At 41.7% G+C, this 27356-nt stretch overlaps 1 protein-coding gene across 5 annotated transcripts in view; it reads right to left on the reverse strand.

Annotated features, from left to right (window-relative positions):
* RETREG1 (reticulophagy regulator 1) overlaps positions 1-27356 on the reverse strand; it is a 143945-nt gene that overhangs the window by 17318 nt on the left and 99271 nt on the right. Inside the window, exons 1-2 of one of the 5 annotated variants that reach the window (XM_011514054.3) lie at positions 18208-18628; positions 15034-15153 (exon numbers count right to left, since the gene is read on the reverse strand). The exons of 2 other annotated variants lie outside the window; for them this stretch is intronic. In XM_011514054.3, coding sequence (XP_011512356.1) covers positions 15034-15153; positions 18208-18242 — 155 coding nt within the window. In that variant the 5' untranslated portion in view covers positions 18243-18628. Of the gene's footprint in view, positions 1-15033; positions 15154-18207; positions 18629-27356 lie in introns of those variants that run through there. 2 more of the 5 variants (XM_011514053.4, NM_019000.5) reach the window with 2 other exon arrangements.

Genomic DNA, 27356 nt, shown 5'->3' on the forward strand with positions numbered 1-27356 from the left:
GATTACACAGATTACTATGACAGTTTTATTTAGGTGGCAATTTGTAGTAGAAAGGAAAGATGCAATTAGGTTATATAATAAATCAAGCAAAGGCAGTTTGTTAACAATTCAAATAAAGGGGGTTACAGGCACCATAAAAAAGAATAGCTAACACTCACCAGGGGTCAGGTAGTGAACAGCATCTTATAAACTTACTATCTTATAAACTTACTACTTACTTCAATCCTTACAACCAACCTGTGAGTGAACTACTGTTTATTATTCCTGTTCAACAGATTGAGAAAGTTGAGGCCCAGATACATTAGCTATCTTGTTCAAGGTCACAGAATGAATCCACAATGGAATAGGGAAGTAATGCATAGAACTGGGAATGCTCCTAATGTGGGGCGAGATACAGAAAAAACACTCTCCGGATTGGAACATGGGGACCATTGCAAAGATGAGTAGGGAAGCACATTAGGGCAGTGCCACAGGCAGGATTATGGATCCCTAAATGCCAAGCTACACAAATAGAAATCAAAATAGTTAAAAAGCGGCTTTGGTTCCCAGGTGAAACTCCTTGGTCCTAAGGCATCTAGATTCTTATTTTCTCTCTGAACCCCTCCAGCTGTTCCTAAATTAGTACCCACAAAGTGATTCCATAATCATGAACCCAACTTCACAAACTTCAATTACAACACGTGCCCATAATAACCATGACCATGGCAACTATCTGCTAAGCTCTCCCTGTGTGCCAGGCACTATGTTAAGCACTCTGCCCGCACTGTCCCAATGTCCTCCACATGATCCCCCTAGGACCCCATCCCATTACGATACCCTGCAAGGCAGGGTTATCTCCATTTTACCCAAGAGAAAACTGAGGCTGAAAAGGGCTTGAAACACAGCAGATCTCCTGGTTACCGACCACGACCGTCGCATCTGGTAACGTTCTTTCAGGGCAACTATGAATTGCAATTAATTTATGACATTTGTAACACTGACTCCCTATGAGACTTTAAATCCCATGAAGGAATTCTTGGACAGTGCTCTGTCTTCAGTAGCTAACAGAGCTTGACATCTATGAGGCACATAAAAATACTGAATGAATATAAACAGTAAACATCCAAAGAAGAAAATATCAAAAATAATTAACAGTGGTTATTTGGTGGCACCATGTTTTTAATTCACTTATCCGAATGTTTCTATACATTACGTGTTGGTAATAATTAGCATGCATTCCCTCATATGTATAAAAATATACAAAATAATAGACAAAAAGTCCTATTAAAAATCTAGAAAACAACTGTCATCTATAGGGAAGAGTTTTGTTTTGTTCTTTCTTGCAAATGGGCAGTTAAAATGCCTTCAAAATTAGCTAATTAGGAAATACGGGCCAGGCACAGTGGCTCACACCTGTAATCCCAGCACTTTGGGAGACAAAGGCGGGAGTATCCCTTGATCCCCAGAGTTCATGACCAGCCTAGACAACATGGCAAGACCCTGTCTCTACGAAAGAAAGGAAAGAAAGGAAGAAAGAAAGAAAGATGCTTCATATATTCCAAGACTTTCTGGAACTGAAAATCGGTATTTCATATGAGATTTCTGCGGGCAAAACTTGAGCCTTAATGTGTGACTTGGGGATCCCTGGATCCATGAGTATCTCCTGCGGGCACTGTTCCCACATGGCCCACCAGCATTTGTGATACCAGTAGAGAACAGAACTGGGCCCTGACGAATATCCAACCTTCACATGAAATATCAGAGAAAAATGACTCCCTTTTTGGTTTTGCTTTTCAAGTTTTTGTAGGGCAACTGCACCCCGCTGGAGAACATTTTCAGACAGTGTTGTCCTCTCTCTCTCTCTCTCTCTCTCTCTCTCTCACACACACACACACACACACACCATTCTTGTTAGGTTTTAACTTTTTCACATCCTTATGAATTTATAGTGCAATAATCATTTCCAAAGATGTTTTGATTTCTGTTATAATACCTCCAGAAAGTATACATTATTTCACACTACTCATTATTTTATTTTCAATTTATAAGAAATGGAAGTTGAAGCCAAACAATATTTTTCAGAAAGTTTGCTAAGTCACCATTCCATATTGACAAACTTAAAAAAAAAAAAAAAGGATTTGTTATAACTCGTCACCTGGCAACCATGACAAACAGCTGCTGCAACCATCACACCTATAAATATGCTTTGGCTTGGAGACCTTTCATTCTCAGCTAGTGACTAAGGGTCTCATGCTCTCTACTGGTAGTGGACATCTGTTGATGCTAATTCCTGTCGAATTTTTCTTAGAAAGGTCAGTCAGTATCTGGTTACAGATTTTAACATTTCTTAGTGTAATGTGTTAGAATTTTTTTTAATCCTGTGGATACTTATTATGTTCCTCTGTGTGTAGGTGCTTGCATATGACTGTATGTAGGCAGAGAAACAAAATAAAAACAGATATATTTCTCTGCATGAGCACTCACTGAATTAGAACCATGACAACGCAAATAAGATTTGTCAACTAGAGGATTAAAAAGAGTAAACACAAGATTAAGAAATTACATCGCACTCAACTTGAAGCGTTCACTTTCTCAGGCCAATTAGCCACGTGAGCGACTCCTCCCAAGGCCAGGGACCAGAAGGCGCCAGTGAGTGCTGGCTTTTTCTGCCTGGAGAAGCTTTCTGCCCGGAGAGCCCCATCTTCCTCAGAGCAACTTAGTGTTCTATTTGGGGCTCTCCCTTTTTTTATATCAAGTTTAAAACGACTCAGAGATCAGCTACTTACTTTTGCGATTGACCCTTTCCACCTCCTATCTCAAACTGAGCACTGCTACTTCTCCAGGTGATCATCAATTATCCAATCCACCTAGATCATTTGGGAGGCTGACACTCAACTACCCATCATAGTATTTATTACAGTTTCAAGTTTCTATGAACAAGATGCCAAGTATAAGTCATTTTTCAGCGTTTTTAATTTTAACATTTTAATAACTAGACTTTCATAAGCCCAGGGCATGAGTAATGCAAATTCCATTACTAGCATAGGACAAGCACCTACTTGAGACCTGCAGGAGATTCAACACCCTTTCATTTGTGAATGCCAAGATTTGCTTCAATCACTGTCCCTGAGGGCAGAAAATATTTCTACTTTATCCCTGAAGGACAGATAATATCAGATAGTCAAGAAACACTCCTCAAGGAAAACAAAACTGTTATTGTGAAGCAGGCTGGCTCATTTAGATATAAGTCTTTTCTTGCATTCCACTGAAGATCCACAATTTCTGATGAATTTCAACCCAGGGTTTACTGTAGTTGGAGTCAAAAGTAAATGTCCCTTCCCTGCATTGCAACATTTGGCCTACTTATATGAAACCTGTGAGGATACTAAAAAATATGTTTCCTACAGCACAAAAAAAAAAGTCATTAACAATATTGTTCCTAATTTTGCTTTTTAGAGATGGTACCCACCACACTGGTCCTGAGCACCAGGTATATACAACTCAAACACTGAATTCTCAAGTTTCTCCAAAGTGCTTTTATTATGAAGGCCAATTCAAATTATTTTTGTTTGTAGAATCAGCCTTTGTAATAAAAAGCAATAACCTGGAAGATGGCAAACTTGGAGTGACTATCGCACATTAAGATATTCAGTCAAGATGCTAGGCTGTTTAATTAGGTCATATTCCCAACTTAGTCCTTTAAAGAGTGTATCTCTCATTTATGTTCACATAAATAATCAGAGGCTTTTAAAGGAATACACTCTTACTAAGAGAATCAGACCCTTATCAGTCACAGAAAAAAATGACAATGCTTGCTAAACTTGCCCTCAGTCTCCCTCAATAGCAGATTTTGAGAATAAGCTATTATGTAAATAGTACATGTATTAATGGTAAATTAATAAATATAATATTCAACAACAGTATGCAGGGAAGATGGGTATGGGTATGAACCTGGGATTATAGATGACACAAAAAAAATGGTAGAAAGTTAATGACATGGTTTGAATCTGTGTCCCCACCAAATCTCATGTCAAATTGTAGTCCCAAGTGTTGGAGGTGGGGCCTGATGGGAGGTGGTTGAATCGGGGGCAGACTCTCATGAATGGTTTAGCACCATCCCCTTGGTGCTGTGCTCATGATGGTGAGTGAGTTCTCAAGAGATATGGTTGTTTAAAGAACGTGTGGCACCGCCCCCCTGCTCTCTCTTACTCCTGCTCTGGCCATGTAAGATGTGCCTTGCTTCTTCTTTGCCTTCTGCCATGATTGGCAGCTTCCTTAGGCCTCCCCGGAAGCAGAAGCCACTTTGCTTCCTGTAGAGCCTGCAGAACCATGAGCCAATTAAAACTCTTTTCCTTATAGATTACCCAGTCTCTGGTATTTCTTTATAGCAGTGCAAGAACAGACTAATAGAGAAAATTGGTACTGAAGAGTGGGGGCATTGCTGTAAAGATAAATAAAAATGTGGAAGCAGCTTTGAGACTGGGTAATAGGCAGAAGTTGGAAGAGTTTGGAGAGCTCAAAAGAAGACAGATGGATGAAGGAAAATTTGGAACATCCTAGAGACTTGAATGGTGGTGACCAAAATGCTGGTAGTAATATGGAAAATGAAGACTAGGCTGATGAGGTCTCAGAAGGAAATGAGTATCTTATTGGGAACTGGAGCAAAGGTCACTTTTACTATGTCTTAAGCAAGGCAACTGGCTGCATTGTGCCCCTGCCCTGTGAAACTCTGAACTTAAAGAGTGATGATTTAGGTATCTGGTGGAAGAAATTTCTAAGCAGCAAGGTGTTCAAGATGTAGCCTGGCTGCTTCTAAAAACCTATGCTTATATGTGTGAGCAAAGAAATGATGTGAAACTTGAACTTACATTTAAAAGGAAAACAGACCATAAAAGTTTGAAAAATTTGCAGCCTGGCCATGTGGTAGAAAAGAAAAGCCCATTTTTAGGGGAGGAATTCAAGCAGGTTGCAGATATTTGCATAAGTAAAAAGGAGCCAAGTGCAAATAGCCAAGTCAATGAAAAGCCCCATTGTCAAAGGCATTTCAGAGACCATCTAGCAACCCCTCCCATCACAGGCCCAGAGGCCTAGGATGACATAATGGTTTTTGTGAGCCAGGCCCAGGCCACCTCTTCCCTGAACAGCCTTGGGACACTGCTCCCTATGTCCCAGTCACTCCAGCTCCAGCTATGGCTCAAAGAGGCCAAGGTACAGCTCGGGCTGCTGCTTCAGAGGGTGCAAGCCATAAGCCTTGGTGGCTTCCATGTGGTGTTAACCCCACCCCTACTAAAAATACAAAAAATTGGCCAGGCATGGTGGCAGGTGCCTGTAGTCCCAGCTACTCGGGAGGCTGAGGCAGGAGAATGGCATGAACCCAGGAGGCAGAGCTTGCAGTGAGCCGAGATTGCACCACTGCACTCCAGCCTGGGCGACAGAGCGAGACTCTGTCTCAAAAAAAAAAAATAGATGAGTATGAATATTCTTAGACTCAGGGTATAAGTTGAGTGCTGACTGGGGACTAACAAACCTAGCAGTCCACCCCTGTGGTATTCGATTCAATCCAATAAATCTTCACTTAGGTGCGGGGACTGAGGGGGTTATCAAATTGCCAATTGATTTAGGGCTTCAAATAAATTGATGTATTAGGCATGATTTCTAGTTTTATTTATTTAAAAAAGGAGCAAGGATTTAATGACAGAAGTCAAACCCAAGTAAAGGATCATTCTAAATTTTTCTGCTCATCCCCCCAAACCTTTTTAGTTTTGTCCACACTTAAAAAAAAAAGTAGTATTAGCAACTTACTCTTACTCTCTCCAATGCATTTGACTTAATTTTCATAAACAGTTATATGTATTACAATATAGGTTTTCCTATCATATCAAATGTCAAAGCAACAGTGGTCTAAACAAGAGAGCAGTTCATTTCTCCCTTATGTCACAGCAGAGCATAGAAGTCCCAGGCTGATATGGGACATCCATAATGTTGGAGACCCAGGCCCTTTCCATCTCATTGCTCAGACACTGTCAAATCACACTGCCACCCCATGGACCTTGCCCCATCCACATTGCCACCAGCAGGAAGGGGTAAAAAGAAGCTGAGATAATTCCCCTTTCTCTTTAAAGTCATGGCCTGCAAGTTGCCTGTGCAACTTCCATTCACCTCCCACTGGCTGGAACATAGAAACATGGCCATGCCTACCTGCAAGAGAGCCTAGGAAACATAGTTCAATTGCTGGTGGCCACCACCCAGCTGAAACTCAGAATTCCATTACCCAAAAAAGAAAGGGAAGCTGGGTATTTGGAAACAACCAACAGAATCTGCCACAACAATTCTCTTTTTGATACCTTATTTCATCAGTTTACATAATTTTATGCAATTACAATGGAAACAACGGGCACAAAGAGATTTGAGAATAAACACAACTGACTCAGCAAGCACACAACTCAAATGGTAGAAGCCATTAGACACTAAAGGGCCAGATAGTAGATATTTTTGGCTTTGTTGGCTATACAACTCTGCCACTGTAGCAAAAAGGCAGCCATAGACAATATGAAAATGAAATAACATGGCTGTGATCCAATAAAACTTCATATACAAAATCAGGCTGCAGGGTGGATTTGGGCCCAGGCACAGGAGTCTGCTAGTTCAGGGTGTCATAGGTTCAGACACATGGCTATACAAAGGTGATGAAAATCACCAATTCTGCAAGCTACTAGGAACTATTAAGAGAGCTTCTACTCTAATAGAACCTCCCATTTATTGAGCACACACCAAGTGCTAGGCATGACATTAGGAGCTTTATTATTATCTCTAATCCTCACAACACTCTGACGAGGTGGGTAAAATGCCTCCATTTTCCAGATAAGAAAGCAGACACAGCTAAGAAGAGGCGACCAGGATCAGAACCCAGTCTCCAGCTTCAATCCACCAGCCTCCAAAGCCCGTTCTCTTCCAGATGAAACAAGTTCTTCTACGGAAGTTGGATGAAAAATTGTCCTTTGGCTAACAATAAGTGAAATAAGTGCACACAATTTCTTGTCACACTACCGGCAAAGCTGCTATGTCAGATTGGACATGTAAAGTATTACAATGACAAAGGCTTTCCTCTGATCTTAAAATATCCCCTGCCTAGCAGTTAACCTGGGCTTTAGCAGGGAGGCACCTAACCTTCAGATTTTCCTGGGTAAAGTCGCCAAGGTCATAAGCTTTACAACATTGGTAACTAACAGGGGTCGGGGGCAGATAAAACTCAAGGTCACATCAACATCACTGACCACTTATAAGGTCTTTGAAAGTTTATCTAAATAAAGAGAAAGATTATCACCCTCTGTCCTCATCTCGGGATAGGCATGTAACATTCCACCATTGCCATGCATGGCAGACCACACTAATGTGTCACAGCACTCTTTCCAGAAATTTCCCAACAAGGCCTCATGATCCTATTAGAGCTCCAGGCACCATTTGCAGTTTATAGGAGTTGGCATGAGAGAATGAAGTCATCAAACCCTCAACACTTGCCTTATGGGACACAACAGCTTCCAATTTTCCCCTCTCCTATGCCCAAAAAAGAGGGTTATCAGTTACCTCCTTTATCATCAGTGCCAATGTTTGTTGTACCTTAGTTTATTGAGCAAATCTCTTCTTGTTTCAGCAAGCAAGTCAATTCATTCTAGGTTTATAATTTCTCTATGCATTCATTTTATAATGAAGTCTATCTCAAAGTCTTCCTGAGCACAAACAACTATGTTTCCAAAAGGAAGTTTTCACAATATTTCGGAATGGAGAAACTATGACTACAGTCATGCATCATTTACCAATGGGGATATGTTCTAAGAAATGTATCATTAGGCTATTCTGTCATTGTGTGAACACCACAGAGTGTACTTACACAAACCTGGATGGGATAGTCTACTACGTACCGAGGCTATAGGGTACAACCTATTGCTTCTAGGCTACAAACCTGTACAGCACTCTACTGTACTGAATACTGCAGGCAATTTTAACACAATGGTAAGTATCTGTGCATCTAAACATAGAAAAGGTACAATAAAAATACAGAATAAAAGATTTTTAAAAAATGGGGCCAGGCACAGTAGCTCACGCCTGTAATCCCAATACTTTGGGAAGTCGAGGCGGATGGATTGTTTGAGCTCAGGAGTTCAACACCAGCCTGGGCAACATGGCAAAACCCAATCTCTACAAAAAATACAAAGATTAGCCGGCATGGTGGTGCATGCCTGTAGTTGCAGCTACTCAGGGGGCTGAGGCAGGAGGATCACTTGAGCCCAGGAGGTCGAGGCTGCAGTGAGCCAAGATCGTGCCACTGCACTCCAGCCTGGGCAACACAGAGAGACCCTGTCTCAAAAAAAGAGAAAAACAATGGTGCATCCATATAGTGTACTTACCCTGGATGGAGCTTGTAGGACTGGAACTTTCTCTGGGTGAGTCAGTGAGCAATGAGTGAATGTGAAGGCCTAGGACATTACTGTGCACTACTGTAGACTTTACAAACCCTGTACACTTATTGAGTTAAATTCTTTAAATTTTTCTTTAATAATTCTCTTAGCTTACTGTAACTTTTTTACTTAATAAACTTTTCCATTTTTTTAAAGTTTTTGACTCTTGTAATAACGCTTACCCTAAAACACACATTGTATAGCTCTACAAAATTTTTTTCTTTTTATCTTTGTTTTATAAGCTTTTTACTATTTTTAATTTTTGATTTTTTTTTTTTACTTTTTAAAATTTTTTGTTAAAAACTAAGACACAAACACACACATTAGCCTTGGCCTACCCAGGGACAGGATGATGAAGACATCACCAGGCAACAGGGACTTTTCCACTCCAGTATAATTTCATGGGACCACTGTCACATATGCAGCCATGTCCTTATGCGGCGTATGACTGTATTTAGAATTAACATTTCGTTTACTTCAATCATGGAGTGTCTATCCCAGTTACTTTTGAGGGAAAGTTATCCACCACTAATGTTATAAGCTACTCCAGAAACATATATGTGCCATATAATTTGCGATTCCTGGAGAGAATGTTCTAAGCAGTAGAAACTAGTAATTTCTAAGAAACATAAACACATTCATAACCCCCTTACCTTATGTAAAATAGAGTTTATAATTTTTAGAGGTATCATTTTAAGATTCTGCACCAATAGATGGCTTTGTTTTCTTTTCAAAATGAAGCACTTGCTTACAATTCAACCAAACTATCACCAGGCGATGTCACTTCGAGTCAGAGTAATATTTGTGCACAGCTCCTCCTGTTTTGTTTATATGGCTAGCAAGGCGGCCATTCCTGATGGTAATTACCATGCGACACTCATTCACCACCACCACCATCATGTGTGGGTGTCTGCCCACCTCTGGCAGTGCCAGGCTTCACCAGTGAAACACTTGCATGTTGGGGACATAGCAACCCTTCATAAATCACTGCTACTGTGAGAGAACATTCTGGGCTTCGACCCTTTCCCTCAACTGTTCCCATATCAGGCATTCACAACTGCAATCCTCCCTTCCAAAGCAAAGAATCTGCAGTCTGGTAATGCCTCCCTGCACCCCACTGACACAACTAAGGGCCACAGAGCAACATCTTTTATACTCTCCATGGTATTTACCCAGCAGATAACAATTACACCTAGGGCAGGCCAACTCTGCAAAAATGAGGCTGAAGCAGGACAGAGGTTGTGGCCTGGCCTGAAAGACCATGGGAGCCTCCCTTTAAGACCGTCATTTCTTCTGTCTCCCTAATAAGAGGGTGAGCTTGTCCATACGAAGTGGAGCAACACAACTGTCCTCTTGACATATGCACAGAGCCTATGGGCTTCTCCCAGGGACAGCTGGAACATTCCCTACACCACCGTTGCCCAACTTCTGCCTCAGGATGCTTTGTGACCTAGATGAATTGTAATGCATTGCTACATCCAGGTTTTGCCGCATGCCTTTATCAATTTGGGATTCAGAGACAGCAGGTGCCATGGTTTTAAGAAGGCAGTTTACTGGTGTGGCGGTACAAGGAGAGCAAAGAGAGAGATGAGAGAATGGGTGAATGAGAGACTGTGAGGCTAAAGAACCTGAAGGGAAGAAGAAGAATAATGTCATGTGGAAGAAGACCATACAGGAGTGCATTCCAGAGGGTTCTACACACTTGCTAGAGGAGAGCTGAAATTTTAGCTCCAAACCTCCAAATGGCTCAATCAGAAATGGAAATAGGACCAGTCAGAAGATTCAGAGTGCTCAAAAGACTAAAGCAAACCAGCTGCACAAAAGACATATGGATGTCCTGAGCCTGAAATTCTCCGTGTGGGTACTCATCTCTCTATAAGATGCACTGGGCAGACATCCTTGCTTTCCCCCTAAAGAGTAAATACTTTCACTCGGCACAGTCCATGGCATAATATCAATGTTCACGCGCGTTAAAGCAATCCTAGGAAGGGTCAAAACAAGCTGAACAAACCACAAAGAGCCCACAGATCCTCTAGACCAGACTAACCAGGAATGCACTCCGGAGCTGTTTAGGGAGCTGGAGCTTCTCCTGAAAAGGGGCCCCAGGTAACTTTGCACACCCCCTAGAGGAGACTACCACCTAGAGAGAGTGGGTAGACCACACGTTAAGGACCTGCCCTATATATTATGTCTGGCAATCAGGATTTTCTCTAGGGGTAAACCACAGATGGTTTGAGGTGTTTCCATTCAGTGTGACCTATTTTGTATTGCTTAAGGAAATGTATAACTTATGTATACATTTATTATTGTTAACAACTACTTTTGAGGACTTAACAATGAGCCATTCACTAAAGTGAATATTTAACATGGCTTACCATATTTAATCTATAAAACAAACCTATAAAGTAGGTATTATTATGCCCATTTTGCTGATGACAAAATGAAATTCAGAGAGATTAAGTAGCTTACCCCAGGTCACCCAGCTAGTACCTGGTTAAGGCTGGGATTTGCAGCCAGGAGTAAAACCAGCATTGCATGGTTCTAAAACCCATGCTCACAGTCACCCAGCAGAATGGTTAAAATGGTTAAAATCGTTCAGTGTTTACACTTTAAAATGCAAGTTTCAATTAACTGGAAAGTGATTCCATGTAGAAGAGCTATTTATCAAGCGACTACGCATCATTCTGTTAGGGAGAGAGTTCATTGGCCTGCAATTTTTATTTATTTTTTTATTTTTATTTATTTATTTATTTTTGACACAAAGTTGCTCTCTGTTGCCTAGGCTGGAGTGCAGTGGTATGATCTCGGCTCACTGCAACCTCCGCCTCCCAGGTTCAGGCAATTCTTCTGCCTCAGCCTCCCAAGTATCTGGGACTACAGGCATGTACCACCATGCCCAGCTAATTTTTTTGTATTTTCAGTAGAGACAAGGTTTCACCATGTTGGTCAGGCTGGTTTTGAACTCCTGACCTCAAATGATCCACCTGCCTCGGCCCCCCAAAATGCTGGGATTACAGGCATGAGCCACCACGCCCAGCCTGGCCTGCATTTTTTTAAGAGCACAAGAGAGCACCAGATGGCAAGTACTACCAGAGATATCCTTTCCACTAACAACTGATAAAATTTTATAACTATAAATATTAATTAAGTAAGCTTTTTTTTTTTTTTTGAGATGGAGTCTCACTCTGTTGCCCAGGCTGGAGTGTAGTGGCGTGATCTCGGCTCACTGCAAGCTCCGCCTCCTGGGTTCACACCATTCTCCTGCCTCAGCCTCCCAAGTAGCTGGGACTACAGGCGCCCGCCACCACGCCTGGCTCATTTTTTGTGTATTTTTAGTAGAGACGGGGTTTCAACATGTTAGCCAGGATGGTCTCGATCTCCTGATCTCGTGATTCACCCACCTCGGCCTCCCAAAGTGCTGGGATTACAGGCGTGAGCCACCATGCCCAGCCTAAGTAAGCATTTTTTTTCTCTTTCAGTTAGTTGTAAATTAAAGCCCAATTTGTTTGACATTCTTCCCAAGGGAAAGTTTGCTCTATGTCCCCTACCCTCTAATCATGGCTCCTGGGCTGCCTGACCAATTGAATATGGTGGGACTGATGCTGTCCCAGCTTCTGGGCCCAGGCCTTAAGGAACAGGCAATAATAAACGTGGGTCAATCCAAAGGATAGGATATTTTTGCAGGCATTTAAAAATGCTTCCAAAATGTCTAGATGCCACTGAGAAATGCTGCTGCGAGAAAAAAGCAGCAGACAAAATTGTACATATGAGATACTTATTATAACTCTGCCAAGAAAATATATCCAGGAAGAACTAGAAGACAGTATAACAGTATTTTTTCGAGGCATTAAGATTACAGTTGATCTGTTCGCCATTATATTTTTCCCCCATACTATTTTTATCTTCCCAAATGAACAGCTATAACATCCTTTAGTGGGAAAATTCTTTAAAGAGACGTTGTTTTTAAAATATATGAATAGTAGTGTACCAGACTTGCCCTCAGGCAAGACTTCATGCCCACATAGTTTCTGCAGGACCCAGATTAGCCCACTGTGGAGAAGCAGCAAGACGCTCTAATGGATTTAGACACAGATTTGCCATAAAGAGAGAAGAGGCTGGGAATAAGGGTAAGCCCACACAATTAGGCTTTTGTCCTGTCAGTCACCAAGGACAGACCCTCCCCATGGCCAACCATAGCAGCTGCAGCCCTCCTTGGGCATGGTAAACCAGAGACACCTTCATCACATTTTACAAACAGCAGCAAAGAATTAGTCACTCTGTGTTTATAAAACAGAAATCAGCTTTCACAGGGGCGTGATTACAGGAAGCTCACTGGGGCACTGAAAAGGTTTAGGAAGCATACCACTTATTAACTGGTGATTCAGATATCTCACGCAAAACAAACTCAACAAACTCTCTTGCATCAAAAAGATTGCATTGTTCTACATGTTCTTAATCAATTTTAAATATTAGCCCAGCTGGGACAAAATAGGATTTCAAAAGTGGTAAACATTTTCCATATCTAAGAGACATTTTCCATGACTATGGTAGAAGAGTAGAAGAAAAATAAATAATTCCATAGACCAAGCGCAGTGGCTCACACCTGTAATCCCAACACTTTGGGAGCCCGAGGCGGGTGGATCACGAGGTCAGGAGTTCAAGACCAGCCTGACCAAGATGGTGAAACCCCATCTCTACTAAAAATACCAAAAAATTAGCTGGGCGTGGTGGCAGGCGCCTGTAATCACAGCTACTCAGGAGGCTGAGGCAGAGAACTGCTTGAACCCGGGAGGCAGAGTTTGCAGTGAGTCAAGATCACTGCACTCCAGCCTGGGCGACAGAGCAAGACTCCATCTCAAAAAAAAAAAAAAAAGAAAGAAAGAAAGAAAAGAAAACTAAATAATTCCTTCCACAAACTTTTATTGAATGTCTATTATACCTTAGGAATATATAAATGAAGGAGCCACAGCACAGTTAGAATTAAATGCTCACTCTTATCTTGGCCCACAATCAATGGTATATTGGGACTGACCTCTGCAGGCTCAGGAGAGCCAATATTTTGATTCTCTTTCCAGCTTCACTTTTTTTTTCATTTTAATTTTTATTTTAAGTCCCAGGGTACATGTGCAGGATGTGCAGGTTTGTTACATAGGTAAAGGTGTGCCATGATGGTCTGCTACACCTATCAACCCATCACCTAGGTATTAAGCCCAGCATGCATTAGTTATTTTTCCTAATGCTCTCCCTCCCCCCAACCCATCCCCAACAGGCCCCAGTATTGTTGTTCCCCTCCGTGTGTCCACGTGTTCTCACTGTTCGGCTCCCACTTGTAAGTGAGAACATGCAGCGTTTGGTTTTCTGTTCCTGCATTAGTTCGCCGAGGATAACGGCTTCCAGCTCCATCCATGTCCCTGCAAAGGACACAGTCTCATTTCTTTTTATGGCTGCATAGCATTCCATGGTGTATATGTACCACATTTTCTTTATCCAGTCTATCGTTGATGGGCATTTGGGTTGATTCCATGTCTTTGCTATTGTGAATAGTTCCAGCTCCACTTTTAGTGACCTCAAGTGGTGATGTGAAATCAACCACAGTGGGAGTATTTACACTACAGGAATCAGCAAATGCTAAAGATCAGGTTTTCTCTACCACATAGAGCAGATTCCATGACATTCACCATCACACCGCTGCCTACCTGGCCCAGTGAAGGACTCCTATGTACCTCTCCCACTTCAGCCACTCTCTCCTTTCTCCTTGGGTGTCAACCCTACTGACCTTTCTGCGCCCACACTGCCCTCCTAAATGCTAAACACACCCGGGGTATCGCCAGCACATAACAGCCATATATGTACGTATCTAACTGCACAGGCTCCTCAGGAGTCAGCCACTTGCCTTCAAATCGCAACTCCCTCACTTCACGGCTGTGTGAACTTTGTTTACTTCAGCTCTCTGTACCTGTTTCAAAACCAAAGGCCACATACGACCTTTTCAAACATACAAAAGTTGACATACGCTGGCTCACAGGAATCCCAACGGCACCCTGGTCAGGCTCCTGTGCCAGGCTTTTCTCCTCCTCACCCGATTTTTTAAAGAAATGGTAGTATCAACAATAGGCTTTGTCAACAATGTAAAATTAAGCCTAAAATCTGGCTAATCTGAATTATTAAAACATCTGGATTGCAGAATATATTTAAGTCAATTTCTTTTAAACTTCCAAGAATAAAATTTAGTGCAATTACGAATGACGTTTCGGCTTTAAAAGTGCTTTGGTGATCTTAAATACAATCACCTTCGTGCATCCGGAACACAAATGTACGGCAGCCCTACCGCTCCGGAGTCCAGCGATCACAAAAGGCCTGTGAGGACGCAAAACTGGTATTACTAAATTCCAGTTGTACGGACTCAGTGGCCTTTGCAGACAAACTTTTCAGTCCTTACTATATGACAAGTCCAGTAGGATGTTTCACAGGGGCCTGGATTAGCAGGTGACATTCTGCTGTTAATCCCCTCCCCCAGCCTGCACGCCAGGTACTCTCCCACACGACCATTTTAAGTTTCATTTCCTCAGCCCCTATTATCTGAAATACTCTTGCTTACTTTTTTTTCACCTTGGGGTCTGTCTCCACACCTGGGCTGTGTGCTCCGTGACAGCAGGGGCCTGACATCACCCTAGCTCCTGGCACCGCAGCTGGCTGACATTGGGAGCGCCATAAAGCCCTACCAAGTGAAGCAATGAACATGTGAACACAATTATCCGGAAGTTATCTGGAAAGCGCTTCCACAAGAAGATGCATGAAGAGCTCCGTCTTGGTGCCTAGGGTCCCTCTCCCTTCAGGACAGCTGGAACAGGGACCGTCCCCCTTTCCACACCCCTCAGCCCAGGCTGCTTGCTGAAGGCGTCAGAGGCCCTCCCAGGCCCCGGCTCCAAGGTGGGGCCAAGGAACCACTGCAGAGCCAGGCCTCTGGCCAGGGTACACGTTTCCTCCTATTTCTTGACCCTGTCTGCTATCCTAGTCGCTGCCCCCATTGTTCTTTCCTTCTTCTCTGGCCCCTGAGGCTCCCTGTTTGGGCTTCTGCCTTCCTCGCCTGCTTCAGAGTGGCATTCAGGCTCACCCTCTCCCCTCGTCTCTTGACCTTGGAAAAGGGCATGGAGTCTCCAGAGGCTCCTACTAATACCACGTATGGCTGACATAAGATAAACCACAAGGAGGGGGGTCTCTCCTGGACCTGCCCCCTCTCAGGCCGTTGGTTCACCAAGTCCATTTGGTGAATATCAAATGGTGCCTCGGGGCCATCAGACCAGGGCACGCATGGCAGTCTGCCCTGGATGCCTGGGCCCTACACCTGGATACACTTATGAAGCTGCGGAGCATTTGGCTTCCACTGATTTTTTTAAAAACAAAACTGAGATTTAGCTCACTGATGGTTCCAGAGCAATCTAGGACACCAAGTGCCAAAATGGAACTGAAGTCACATGAAAAAGCCTCAGTGTGAGACTCAACTAGAACCTGCTGCAATCAAGCTCTAAGAATGTACTTTGTAAGTAGATAAACAACTTCCAACAGTTATTTCTCTTTCAGACAAGGCACCCAAAGACTTGTCCAATGGCATTTCATCTCGAAGGTAGCAAGAGTCAAATTCCTGTTCCATTGCAATCTTTTTGTTTTTTTGTTTTTTTTTTTTTTGAGACAGGGTCTTACTCTGTCACCCAGGTTGGAGTACAGTGGGCTGATCACAGCTCACTGCAATCTCCACCTCCCGGGCTCAGGTGATCCACCTCAGCACCCCTGGCTGGTCTCAAACCCTTGGACCCAAGGGATCCTCCTGCCTTGGCCTTCCAAAGTGCTGGGATTACAGGTGTGAGCCACGGCACCAGGCCAGTTGTAATCTTTTATTTCTAGCCTAGCTCTAAACTTTCTCCCTGTCTGGGATGCCCCTTCTTTCTGCACAGATAGGGAAAAAACAAATGTATGAAGTAAGACAAAGTATACTGCATAGAAAACCACCAATGGGTAAAAGCTTAAAGTTATCAAAATTAAAACTACAGGTAGTAGGGGGAGGTGGCACAGGAATATGCTACCTCAAAGGACGGGGAGTCTCTCATTTTCAATCCAATATATTACTAATCCTTGGTAATAATAATCATTATATGTGTGTATAATATATGGTTATGTGAATGTATAGCTATATAATATCTATACACTCCTATCTGGTTACGCCTTGTTAACCAGTAAAGCATTCTTAGAAAAAAATTCTTATGTTTGTTCAGTATATATCACAAACTGTTGGTTCAAAATATTTATCAATAATTACTACTTAATTGTGAAAATATTGCATTTCATTAAAGCAACCCTAATCACATTTCTGCCAAATCTCTCCCTTCTTTCAACCTCTAAAATGAGTAGGCCCCATAAATATGTACTGCACATATCAAATAGCTTATCAATACATTTCATTCTACAAGTATGTATTAAAAATGCCTGTTCTGTGAAAATTCTATGAAGAGAGCTGGTGGGAGTGCCTAGGTGCCAAGAGGAAAATAAAAGTCCTGCTTCCAGAAATGTTAAAATGTCATGAAGGGGATACATACGAGTAAATCAACCCATGATCTCAAAACTGAACCTGACATTTACACTTTTCTGGAAATGTTTTCTTAACCAGCTAGTTAACCCATATCCCACTCTAAGCATTTCTGTAAATGTCATCTTCAAGTACTTGGTTTACTGTGTCATTTTATGTAGAAAGTTGTTTCATTGTTCAATTAAATGTCAACATAATGTTGATGTACTAGGAAGGAACTTGTAAGAAAATGGAAACTAGAAAACTAGAGAAAAGTAGCTTTTACAGACTCTACTACAACTGATTATAATTACCACACACACAAACATGCCCCATATACCCATGGCTGAAAGGGGATGCTTGTCTTTAATACAATGACAAAAATATATTTTGGTGCCCTTGTTCCTAGAGAGTTACCAGTTTCCACTTTCTTTGGCAAGAAAATTGTCCAACTCCTTTTCTTGTTTAATAATGTTCTGTCTACTTCATATCCAAATTTCAATGGCCCCAATTAGAATTCCAATGAAGGCATCTAACTGACTCATACAAAAGTTGTTCACAGCAATGGGGCTAAAATGCAGACTTTCACTCTGGGCACAATTATGCTCATATGAGCAGGAATTAATTGTCTGCTTCCTTTCTGTACTCTTGATCTCCCCCTTCTCAGAGTTAGATATTAATATAAACAGTGATACAATTAATGTACTCCCTGTAAAGGGAACCCAAGTAATCACATTTTCAACAATAGGAACTGTGGTTTTAAAAAGTTTTACAATATCAAAATGGTATATTGGTCCAATGTTTAAACTGTGGAAATGCTTAACAAATCTTTAAAATGCAATAGGTTTTTAAAAATGTTCAATAGCTTAGATTTCCAACAACTATCATCTAATGTTAAAAACTCAACATTAAAACATTCAAGTAGATTCTACATTATGTGCTGGGAAACACTTTTTTAAAAAATTTCAGGCCATCACTTTCTGATTCAAGAAAAGCACTTATTGGCATAAGTTTTTAAGAGGACATTAAGTTATTTGCCTCTCTTGAGTGAGTTCGTGCCAAAGAAAATTATGTTTCCTGGAATTAAAGGACTGCATTCTTCATATTTTTACATTTTAAACTCCTTTTTAAATTAGTCATAATATTTTTAAAAAGATAACTAGCCAGTGAAACAGACTGAAGAATAAGTACGTACGTATATATCACAATTACCTTTTGCCTGGTCCAAAGTCTTCACCTTCAGGCATTTCTGCCCTTTAAAAATAATAACAGTGGCAAAGGCTGCAGCACCTGCTAACCACGGCTAATGTGGCCAAACAATAGTTTCTTTTCTACTCTAATGCTGAATATCAGGAGGAAAAAAACCCAGTAGAGACGTTCTTTCCTTTTTGGAAAAAAAGTGCTCCTCCCTTACTCAGAAAGTTGGTGTTTACAAACTTCCAAAGCGCCTGCCTCCCTTGAATGAAGCTAGGAGCTGGGTTATTATCACTGCCCCCTTCTAAAAATAAATAGGTCACCTCTTACTCCCAGTACTGTGACAGGCGGCTGGAAGTGAGCCCTGCCCAGCTGCCCCGCATTCTCTCTCCAGTCCTGTGAGAAGGTGTCCCCGCTCAGCCAGTAACCTTCATTGGATGACTTCACCTAGGCCCGCCTGCCCTTTTTCTTCCCCCGGCTTTTTTTTTTTTTTTTCTGGCATGACTAGGCACCCACCTAAGGGTGGAGTGGCCACAGGAGGTTGAAACATCACCCTGGGCTATCAAATCTCCTCCTTCAAGTCACAGGAGGGAGTTGGAGAGCAGACAGCAAAACAGGCTGTACCTGTGAGGGTTGGGGGTTTTGTTTGGAGAACGCCTAGCCACTCGGCAAAAAGATCCCTTACTCAAAAAGGTTTAAAACAAAAGCCATTATGCAATGGGGTTTTGAGGGATATTGCTTTGCAAGAAAATCTTTTCGGGTCATCTAGATTTCTCAACTCACCGGAAGCATGCACACGAATGTTGAGTTCACGTGTTCATCTGGGCAAAACGCTTTCTCCCCAGGACTTCCCTGTCCTTAGGGGCAGCCTGACACTGGCACAGGAAGGATTGTGGGTCTGGATGTTTTCATAGTTTGGCTTGTCACTGAAGAGAGCCATCCCTCATTTGCTTTTTTAAAAGAGTACGACAAAAATCCCTTCAAATCTTGCTCTCAAAAAGGCCAGAAGAAATATTACTGAGATTTCTTTAGGAATATATCCTGAAAGCTTTGGACAAAAAGTTGAAGCCATTTTTTTTTTCTTGACTAGGAATGTTAGGGATGGCAGAAAGTAAGATCTGCTTATTAAGAAACAATATTATTTTCAAAATGTGTTGCCAGGTGCTGTGGCTCACGCCTGTAATCCTAGCACTGTGGGAAGCTGAGGTAGGAGGATCATTTGAGCCCAGGAGTTCAAGACCAGCCTGGGCAACACAATGAGACCCCATCTCTACCAAAAATAAAATTAGCCGGGCCTGATGGGATGCTCCTGTGGTCCCAGAAACTTGGGAGGCTGGAGTGAGAGAATTGCTTGAGCCCCAGAGGTGGAGGCTGCAGTGAGCCAAGATCGTGCCACTGCACTCCAGCCTGGGTGACAGAGCAAGACCCTGTTTCTTTAAAAAGCTAATAATAAAATAAATTTTAAAAATAAAAAAATAAAAATCTGTGTATTCTGTTGTTATGTTATAGCTAATCCTAGCATGTTATCTATATTTAATGTATATTTTACCATTTGTATGTGTGAAAGTGACTTTCTACCACATTAAAGAAATGTCAAAACAAATAATATCTGCTTTCTTTTGGATAGTGTTAGTTATTTTGTGATGTATGCATCTCACAATTAACAATTCCTTAAGGCATTTCATATTTTACGCAAGACCTAACATTTTAGACACTTCAAAGTCTAAGATGAACTGGGTGTGGTTACTCAGACACACAACTGAAATACCAGGGACTTGAAAGAAAACAGTCATAGGCTGAGCTCTGAAGGTCGGGGTGTGCGAGAGCCTGTCAGAGGCAGGGCAATGTGCTATACTATTAGAAATTCCAGGTTTTTAAATAACTGAAAAGTTGAAATGCTGAAAATATTATCAATGATAATATTTTGGCACTTGTACAAAATCTTATCGGCTGGGGGTGGTGGCTCACACCTGTAATCCTAGCACTTTGGGAGGCCGAGGCAGGCAGATCACCCGAGGTTAGGAGTTCGAGACCAGCCTGGCCAATATAGTGAAACCCTGTCTCTACTAAAAATACAAAAATTAGCCGAGCGTGGTGACGCATGCCTGTAATCCCAGCTACTCGGGAGGCTGAGGCAGAAGAATCACTTGAGCCTGGGAGGCGGAGGTTGCTGTAAGCCTAGATTGCACCACTGCACTCCAGTCTAGGTGACAGAGTGAGAACCTGTCTCGAAAAAACAACAAGAACAACAACAACAACAAAAAAAAAAAAAAAAAAAAAAAACCTAATCAACACAAAAGGCTAATTCTCTTATCTAACTTTCAGCTCTGATCATTCTAACCCATGAATTTTACCTTTTCTTTCTCCTGAGCTTCTAGCTTACTATTTCTTGCATACCTGAACATAACTGTTGTTGATCTTAGTTGCTGGTTACCACAGAACTGAATATATCCCTGAGACCTGCCTCTTAATTGTAAAGGATGATGAACTGATTTAGTGCTATAACAGATGAATTAGCTATTACCAACAGGAAATATTTACCATTACAGACAGTCCCCAACTTAGGATGGCTCAACTTCACAACTGTTTGACTTTACAGTGGTGCAAAACAATACACTTTCAGCAAAAACTGTGCATCAAATTTTAAATTTTGATCTTTTTCTGGGCTAGCGACATGTGGTGGGGTACTCTCTTATGAAGCTGGGCAGCAGCCAGGAGCCTCAGCTCCCAGTCAGCCCCACGATCAAGAGGGTGGGCAGCCGGTACTCTGCAGTGAACTGTGATGCCAGTTGATTCTACCCAACCATAGGCTGATGTAAGTGTTCTGAGCATGTTTAAGGTAGGCTAGATTACACTTTGATGTTCAGTAGGCTAGATGGATTAAACGTATTTTCAACCTACAATATTTTCAACTTAGGATGGGTTTCTCAGGCTATAACCCCACAGTAGGTCAAGGAGCACCAGTACTTTGTTTTAGCGCCCTGTCATGCATGTTAAAATTGCTTGTTCCAACCATGGAGTCCCCTTTAGGTACATTTGTGGTAATTCCTACAATTCACAGGAACAAGGATGGTGTATTAGTCCAGCCCCGTATTACTATAAAGAAATACCTAAGACTGGGTAATTTATAAAGAAAAGAGGTTTAATTGGCTCATGGATCTGCAGGCTGTACAGGAAGCATGGCTGGCATCTGCTCAGCTTCTGGGGAGGCCTCAGGAAACTTAGAATCATGGTGGAGGGGGAAGGGAGAGCAGGCACATCGCATGGCCAGAGCTGGAGCAAGAGAGAGTATGAAGGGGGGATGGTGGTAACCATTCATGAGAACTCCACCCCCATGATCCCCCATCACCTCCCAGCAGGCCCCACTTTCAACACTGGAGATCACAATTCAGTATGAGATTTAGTGGGGACACAGATCCAAACCCTATCAGAGGGAAAACAAGGACAGTACAGACAACAGATCCCGAGTGTAGCTACACAATCGACAAGTGTCCCCCCACTGAAGGCCTAACATGGCTTCTTCACCCAGATGGCACCTTTCACCCTGCTGGGGACTAAGGTGCTAAGCGTTTCCTCACTGACCTGAAACCTACTAGACATCTAGAACTTAAGGACTCACAGAATTCAGATGTGGGAGAGACCCTGAGTGCCACAGAAGTGATCACCAAGATTTTTAGATGCTGAAACTGTGGAACAGCAAAGTCAGGTGACTTGCGGGTGACAGAGGCAGGAGTCACCTCTCCAGGTCACTATGCCTTGGCTGGGTGTCCTTCCACTCCAGCAGAGCCTACACATGCTGCAGAAGCCCAAGGGACCAGATACCTCCACATTTTAAATTTTCCTGTATATACTCTCTTTCCAAATGTATCTCCATTTAATATTAGTAATATACTTTAAATGGACATTTTTATTCTCCTTTGCAATTTCATCATATAGTATGCCCTAGAAAACCATTGCCACTTCAAAGCTAAACGTTCACCTTTCTTGACACCTTTTTCCCCTTCACATAACCATCAGTCCGAGTTTTTTTTTTTCTATCTCCTCTACAGCTGCTTTGATTAAAGCTCTGGAACTTTCTATCTGAGACACTAGGAGAGACCTTCCCCCTCTTGGATGTCATAGGAAAATATTAGCAATGAATGGCCAAATGCAGATGCCAGCGTGAAGACAGGTTGTCTCTTCATATCCCTTCCCAACTTTAGTACACATGGCCTTCCAAAATTAAAACTACATTTCTCAGACTTGTTGGAGCCAAATGAGGCCTTCTGTGATTGTTCTGATTGAGGAGATGTCAGCAGAAACATCAGGCTGCTCCAGGTGCCAGAAACGGGATTCAAAGTAGACCTCTAGTGATTCCCAGAAACACCGAGAGACCAAGCGAAGGTAACTGCCAGGGCCCACTGTGCCCATTGATCTCTCGCAGCAACTGGGGTCATGGTTGAGTTCTCTCTTGGATTCTGAGCTCTGTGAATTTGCATTTTGGGCTCTCTGAGTATATTTGAGCACTTTGTTTGGAGCAGATTGGTTCAGAAGTCATGACAGAAATAGGGCTGGGTCTGTAGGAAGGCCTCAGGTGTCTGACTGGGTCAAATTAGAAACTGGACTGGGTTCAGTAGCTAGGTAAGATTACCAGAAGACAGGGAATCATGGGCTCATCTGGCTCTGAGGATTCTAGAACTCAACCATCTAGAACTCCAGCCAATTTCATGTAAAAGAACTTTGGATCCAGAACCTGTGCTTTTCTAAATAAATGTTGTGACCCTTAGCAAAGGCAACATAGAGTTACAGCAGCCACAGTGGGGAAACTCCTTACAAAAGGCAAATGGACACATGTCTTTAGAGCCGCAACAGCTACAGGGACCAAGGGGACCTCCTTGCACACGTTTTAAACCAAAATCAAGGAGTCCCAAACTCAAGAACTCCATGCCCCAATATGTGCCTTTATTTAAATGGCCAGGCCACTGGAAAAGACATTGTCCATTTTTACACCAGCCATCCGATGGACCGGCTCTTTTTGGTTTGGACTGTTTCTCCACTAGAGGAAGCCCCAAAGCCTCACTCTTAAGACAATAATCAACCAGTCTCTCAGACAGAAGAAAGAATATCTCCATGGTGGGCATTTCAAGTCAAGTCTATATCCTCATATCTGAACCTATCTGCCACTTGGGCCATTTTCAGAAAAACATTTGCAAGAATGAGTCCTGTTTTCTCTGTTCGATGCTCCTTCTCCCACGGGAGCCTCTCAGTTGACTGAAACCCCTGTTCTCAAACCCCTGACTCTGTGCCCTGCCACCTCTGTCCACTTCTTCCTTGTCATGATCTTTGATGAGACAAATTATTTTACGCTGACTGGTAACTCTATTCTGACAGCACTTTCTTTTTTTAAAAATTCATATTGTGTTTAATATCTAGGACAGACTAAACATATAATTTAAATTAACTTCAAAACATAATTTTAAATATGATTAACATTGATCTTTTTAAGATATGCCTGAATTAAATTTGGTCAAAACACAAAAATTATTTATATACTGCTATTAAGGAATTTGTCACTCTCATTCTGAGTTAAAACTTAATTTAAAAGCTGGGTTTGGGGAGAGGAGATCATGGGTGCTTTTGCTTGATTTATGGGGAGGAGATGAATAACCTAGAGCTCAAGGCTCTCTAGGAGCCATCTCCCTCCCACATTCTTATTTTTAACCTAGAAGGAATGAAGTGTTGAACCTTCTGCAAATACGGGAGAGCCCAAAGGTCCTGTTTTCTACTTGTGGGATCTGTAACCAGAAATTTGGCCCAAAGAAGGCCTGCTGGTTCTCAGCACCACCTCACGCCACCTGCGTGAGGTTGGTACAGATATTTTCATTTTGGAATTTGTATTTTTGCCTTGTTTCACTTGTATCTTCAGTATATTCCGTGTTATTTTTCCATTCATTAGATATTTAATGTTTCTATCTTATTTTGAAATGTTTTAGCTTAATTTTTTTATTTCAATAGTTTTTAGGGAACAAGTGGTATTTGGTTACATGGATAAGTTCTTTAGTGGTGATTTCTGAGATTTTGGGATACCCATCACCTGAGCAGTTTATACGGTACCCAGTGTGCAGTCTTTTATCCCTCACCTCCCTCCCACCATTCCCCCCAAGTCCCCAAAGTCCACTGTATCATTCCTATGCCTCTGCGTCCTCATAGCTTAGCTCCCACTTATAAGTGAGAACATATGATGTTTAGTTTTCCATTCCTGAGTTACTTCACGTAGAATAACGGTCTCCAACTCCATCCAGGTTGCTGCGAATGCCATTATTTCATTCCTTTTTATAGCTGAGTAGTATTCCATGGCATGCATATATATATATAATATATATTATATAAATATATGTGCATATATATTATATATGTGTATATATATTATATATATATATAAAATTTTCTTTATCCACTCATTGATTGATGGGCATTTGGGTTGGTTCCACATTTTTGCAATTGTGACTTATGCTGCTATAAACATGCATATGCAATTGTCTTTTTCATATAATAGCTTCTTTTCCTCTGGGTAGACACCCAGTAGTGGGATTGCTGGATCAAATGATAGTTCTACTTTTTGTTCTTTCAGGAATCTCCACACTGTTTTCCATAGTGGTTGTACTACTTTACATTCCCACCAGCAGTGTAAAAGGGTTCCTGGAACCTGGAAGCCCCACAAGTATCTCCAAGAAACAAGTGCAAAGAATCCATCACCTTTCTGAAACTTGCTCCTCCTTTATCCTTGTCTATTTCTTCTCTTAAAGAAACATAATAAATACTTTATGTCATTCTCATAATCTCCTTATTCCAATCTGTTTTCTTCATATAACTTGGCAATATCTCAATTTATCTATTTTTGGCCTGAGAATTTTTTTAGTTTTAATCCTTATACGTTTCACATTATAGAACTGTATACATAAAAACACTAACACAACTGGGGGAGACAAAGGTTTGCAGATCAAGATAAATGATTTCTAGCAATAACTCACTTGTCAGGAGGTCACAAACATGACAACTGCAGTTAAGGATCAGGAAGTAAGTTAGAAGAAGGTAGTTGAGCCACTAGAATAATGTCACCAAGTCAACGCAGCAAAGTACATCCATTTTATTCCTAGAACAGCTTCTCAAAAACTCATTCAAATCCTCTTCACTATTACTCAACATATAGTCTGCAGTCACATGATTTCCCAGCCCCAGAGCAAATTAGAAAGCTCCTAGAGCCAGGCACAGCAATGCGCGAGGGAAATGACAGAAAACCGTGAGGGAAAAGAAAAACTCTAAAAACCATGGCAGACCAAGAGCAAACACATTTGAGGCTATTCAGAGTAGGGGCTTTAACAAATCTAAGTCAGACCTGAAAGAATGAAAAACATATATGATGACCCTGAAAAGATTTAACTATCTTCAGTAGATTGTGTTTGCCAAAGGACAGAAGCATACACTAAATTAAGAAATAGTTCCATGTAAATAGTTGAAATAAAGCAAAAAAAAAAAAAAAAGTGCAACTTAAAGGAATAACCTTCAGTTGTCTATACCATGCACCCCAAATGTCTGGTAAATGGGATATTCGTACATTTATACTACTTATAAAATACACAAAGTAGTTCATATAAAAAGAATACAGCATCTTTTTCATCCATATATGATTGAAACTATAAAAGACCCCTTCGAGGTAGAGATAGCTCAAGTCAGCTTCTCTCTGAGTAGGAACTTTATATTGTGTCCTGAGTGATCAGCTGTATTTATCAATCAGCCCAAGTGACTGAAAAATCTTCTTAAATGACAGAAGACACAGAGATCAAAAACACCTCCCCTAAGTCAGTCTTTCTAAAAATGTTGTCTGTAGAACAGCACAACCGAATCTCCAGAAGAACTTGCTTCAAAATGCAGATCCTGAGTCCCAGTTGAAATTCCAAGAATCAGAATCGCTGGGGGAAGGGCCTGAGCACCCGCATCTTAGCACATTTCCCCCAAACATTTCTGGTACAAGTGAAGTCTGAGAATTGCGGGGTAAATTATCACCTTGAAGCCAGGAGGAGACTGGCCAGGTCTGTGAATTCACCCTCTCCCACTCTTGCCTCTAGTGTGCCCAATCAGGCTGTATTCCTGGTTTTGACATTTCTTAAACTACACAGTAGACAATAAAGTTAAACATGTACCTCTAAATGTTTTTTCACAAGACATATAACAAAAAAAAAAATCTAACAAGCCCAAATTAATTCCAAAAAGATCATAAGAGGCCAGGTGCAGTGGCTCATGCCTGTAATCTCAGAACCTTGGGAGGCAGAGTTGGGAGGATCGCCTGAGCCCATGAGTTCAAGACCAACCTGATCAACACTGTGAAATCCCCATCTCAAGAAAAAAGTAAATGAAAAAAAAAATCATAAGATTTCTAAACCGTATATGTGAGGCTTGAAGCAACAGATGCCTGCAGGGGGAACAATACTGAGTGAGGAAAAGTAATCCCTAAGGAGCATGGGAACGAGGAGGAAGATATAGCTAATAGGAGTCTTAGAATGAGGAGGAAGATATATCTAACAGGAGTCTTGGAATGAGGAGGAAGATATATCTAATAGGAGTCTTGGAATGAGGAGGAAGATATATCTAATAGGAGTCTTGGAGAAGAGGCAGAATGCAGCTTACATCCAGAAAACAAAAATGCAAATCCATTCCAAATCGGCCAGGATGTGTAGGCCTGACCTGAACACTCTTGAAGCAGAGGCTAGAAACTTGTTTTATTGTTCACATGTTTGTTATCTGAATCCCCCACCTCACCAGAATTTAAGGCAGGGATGTTCTTGTTTATTATTGTATCTCAGCAATAGTACAAAGCACGATGGAGCTGGCTCCTAGAATACAGCGTATTAATATTATTTTTAGATTATCTTATTAGTTGATATTAATTACTTAAGTAAGTGAAGAAATGGTCAACTGAGGCAGACACATGGAAGCTATACTCAATTCTTCCCTCTCCCTCACCAGACAGACTATCACCAAGTCCCATCAACCCTAACATATTGAGCTACACTTCTAACCACCTCAGACTCCATGCTGCGTTACTGTCTTAGTTCAATTCATCATCTGTTGCTGAGGTGAGGGGCAGCCACATGTTTTTGATCAAGCACCCCCAGCAGCACACACCCTCC

The sequence above is a fragment of the Homo sapiens genome, chromosome 5 (assembly GCF_000001405.40).
Source record: "Homo sapiens chromosome 5, GRCh38.p14 Primary Assembly".
NCBI classification, from domain to species: Eukaryota; Metazoa; Chordata; class Mammalia; order Primates; family Hominidae; genus Homo; species Homo sapiens.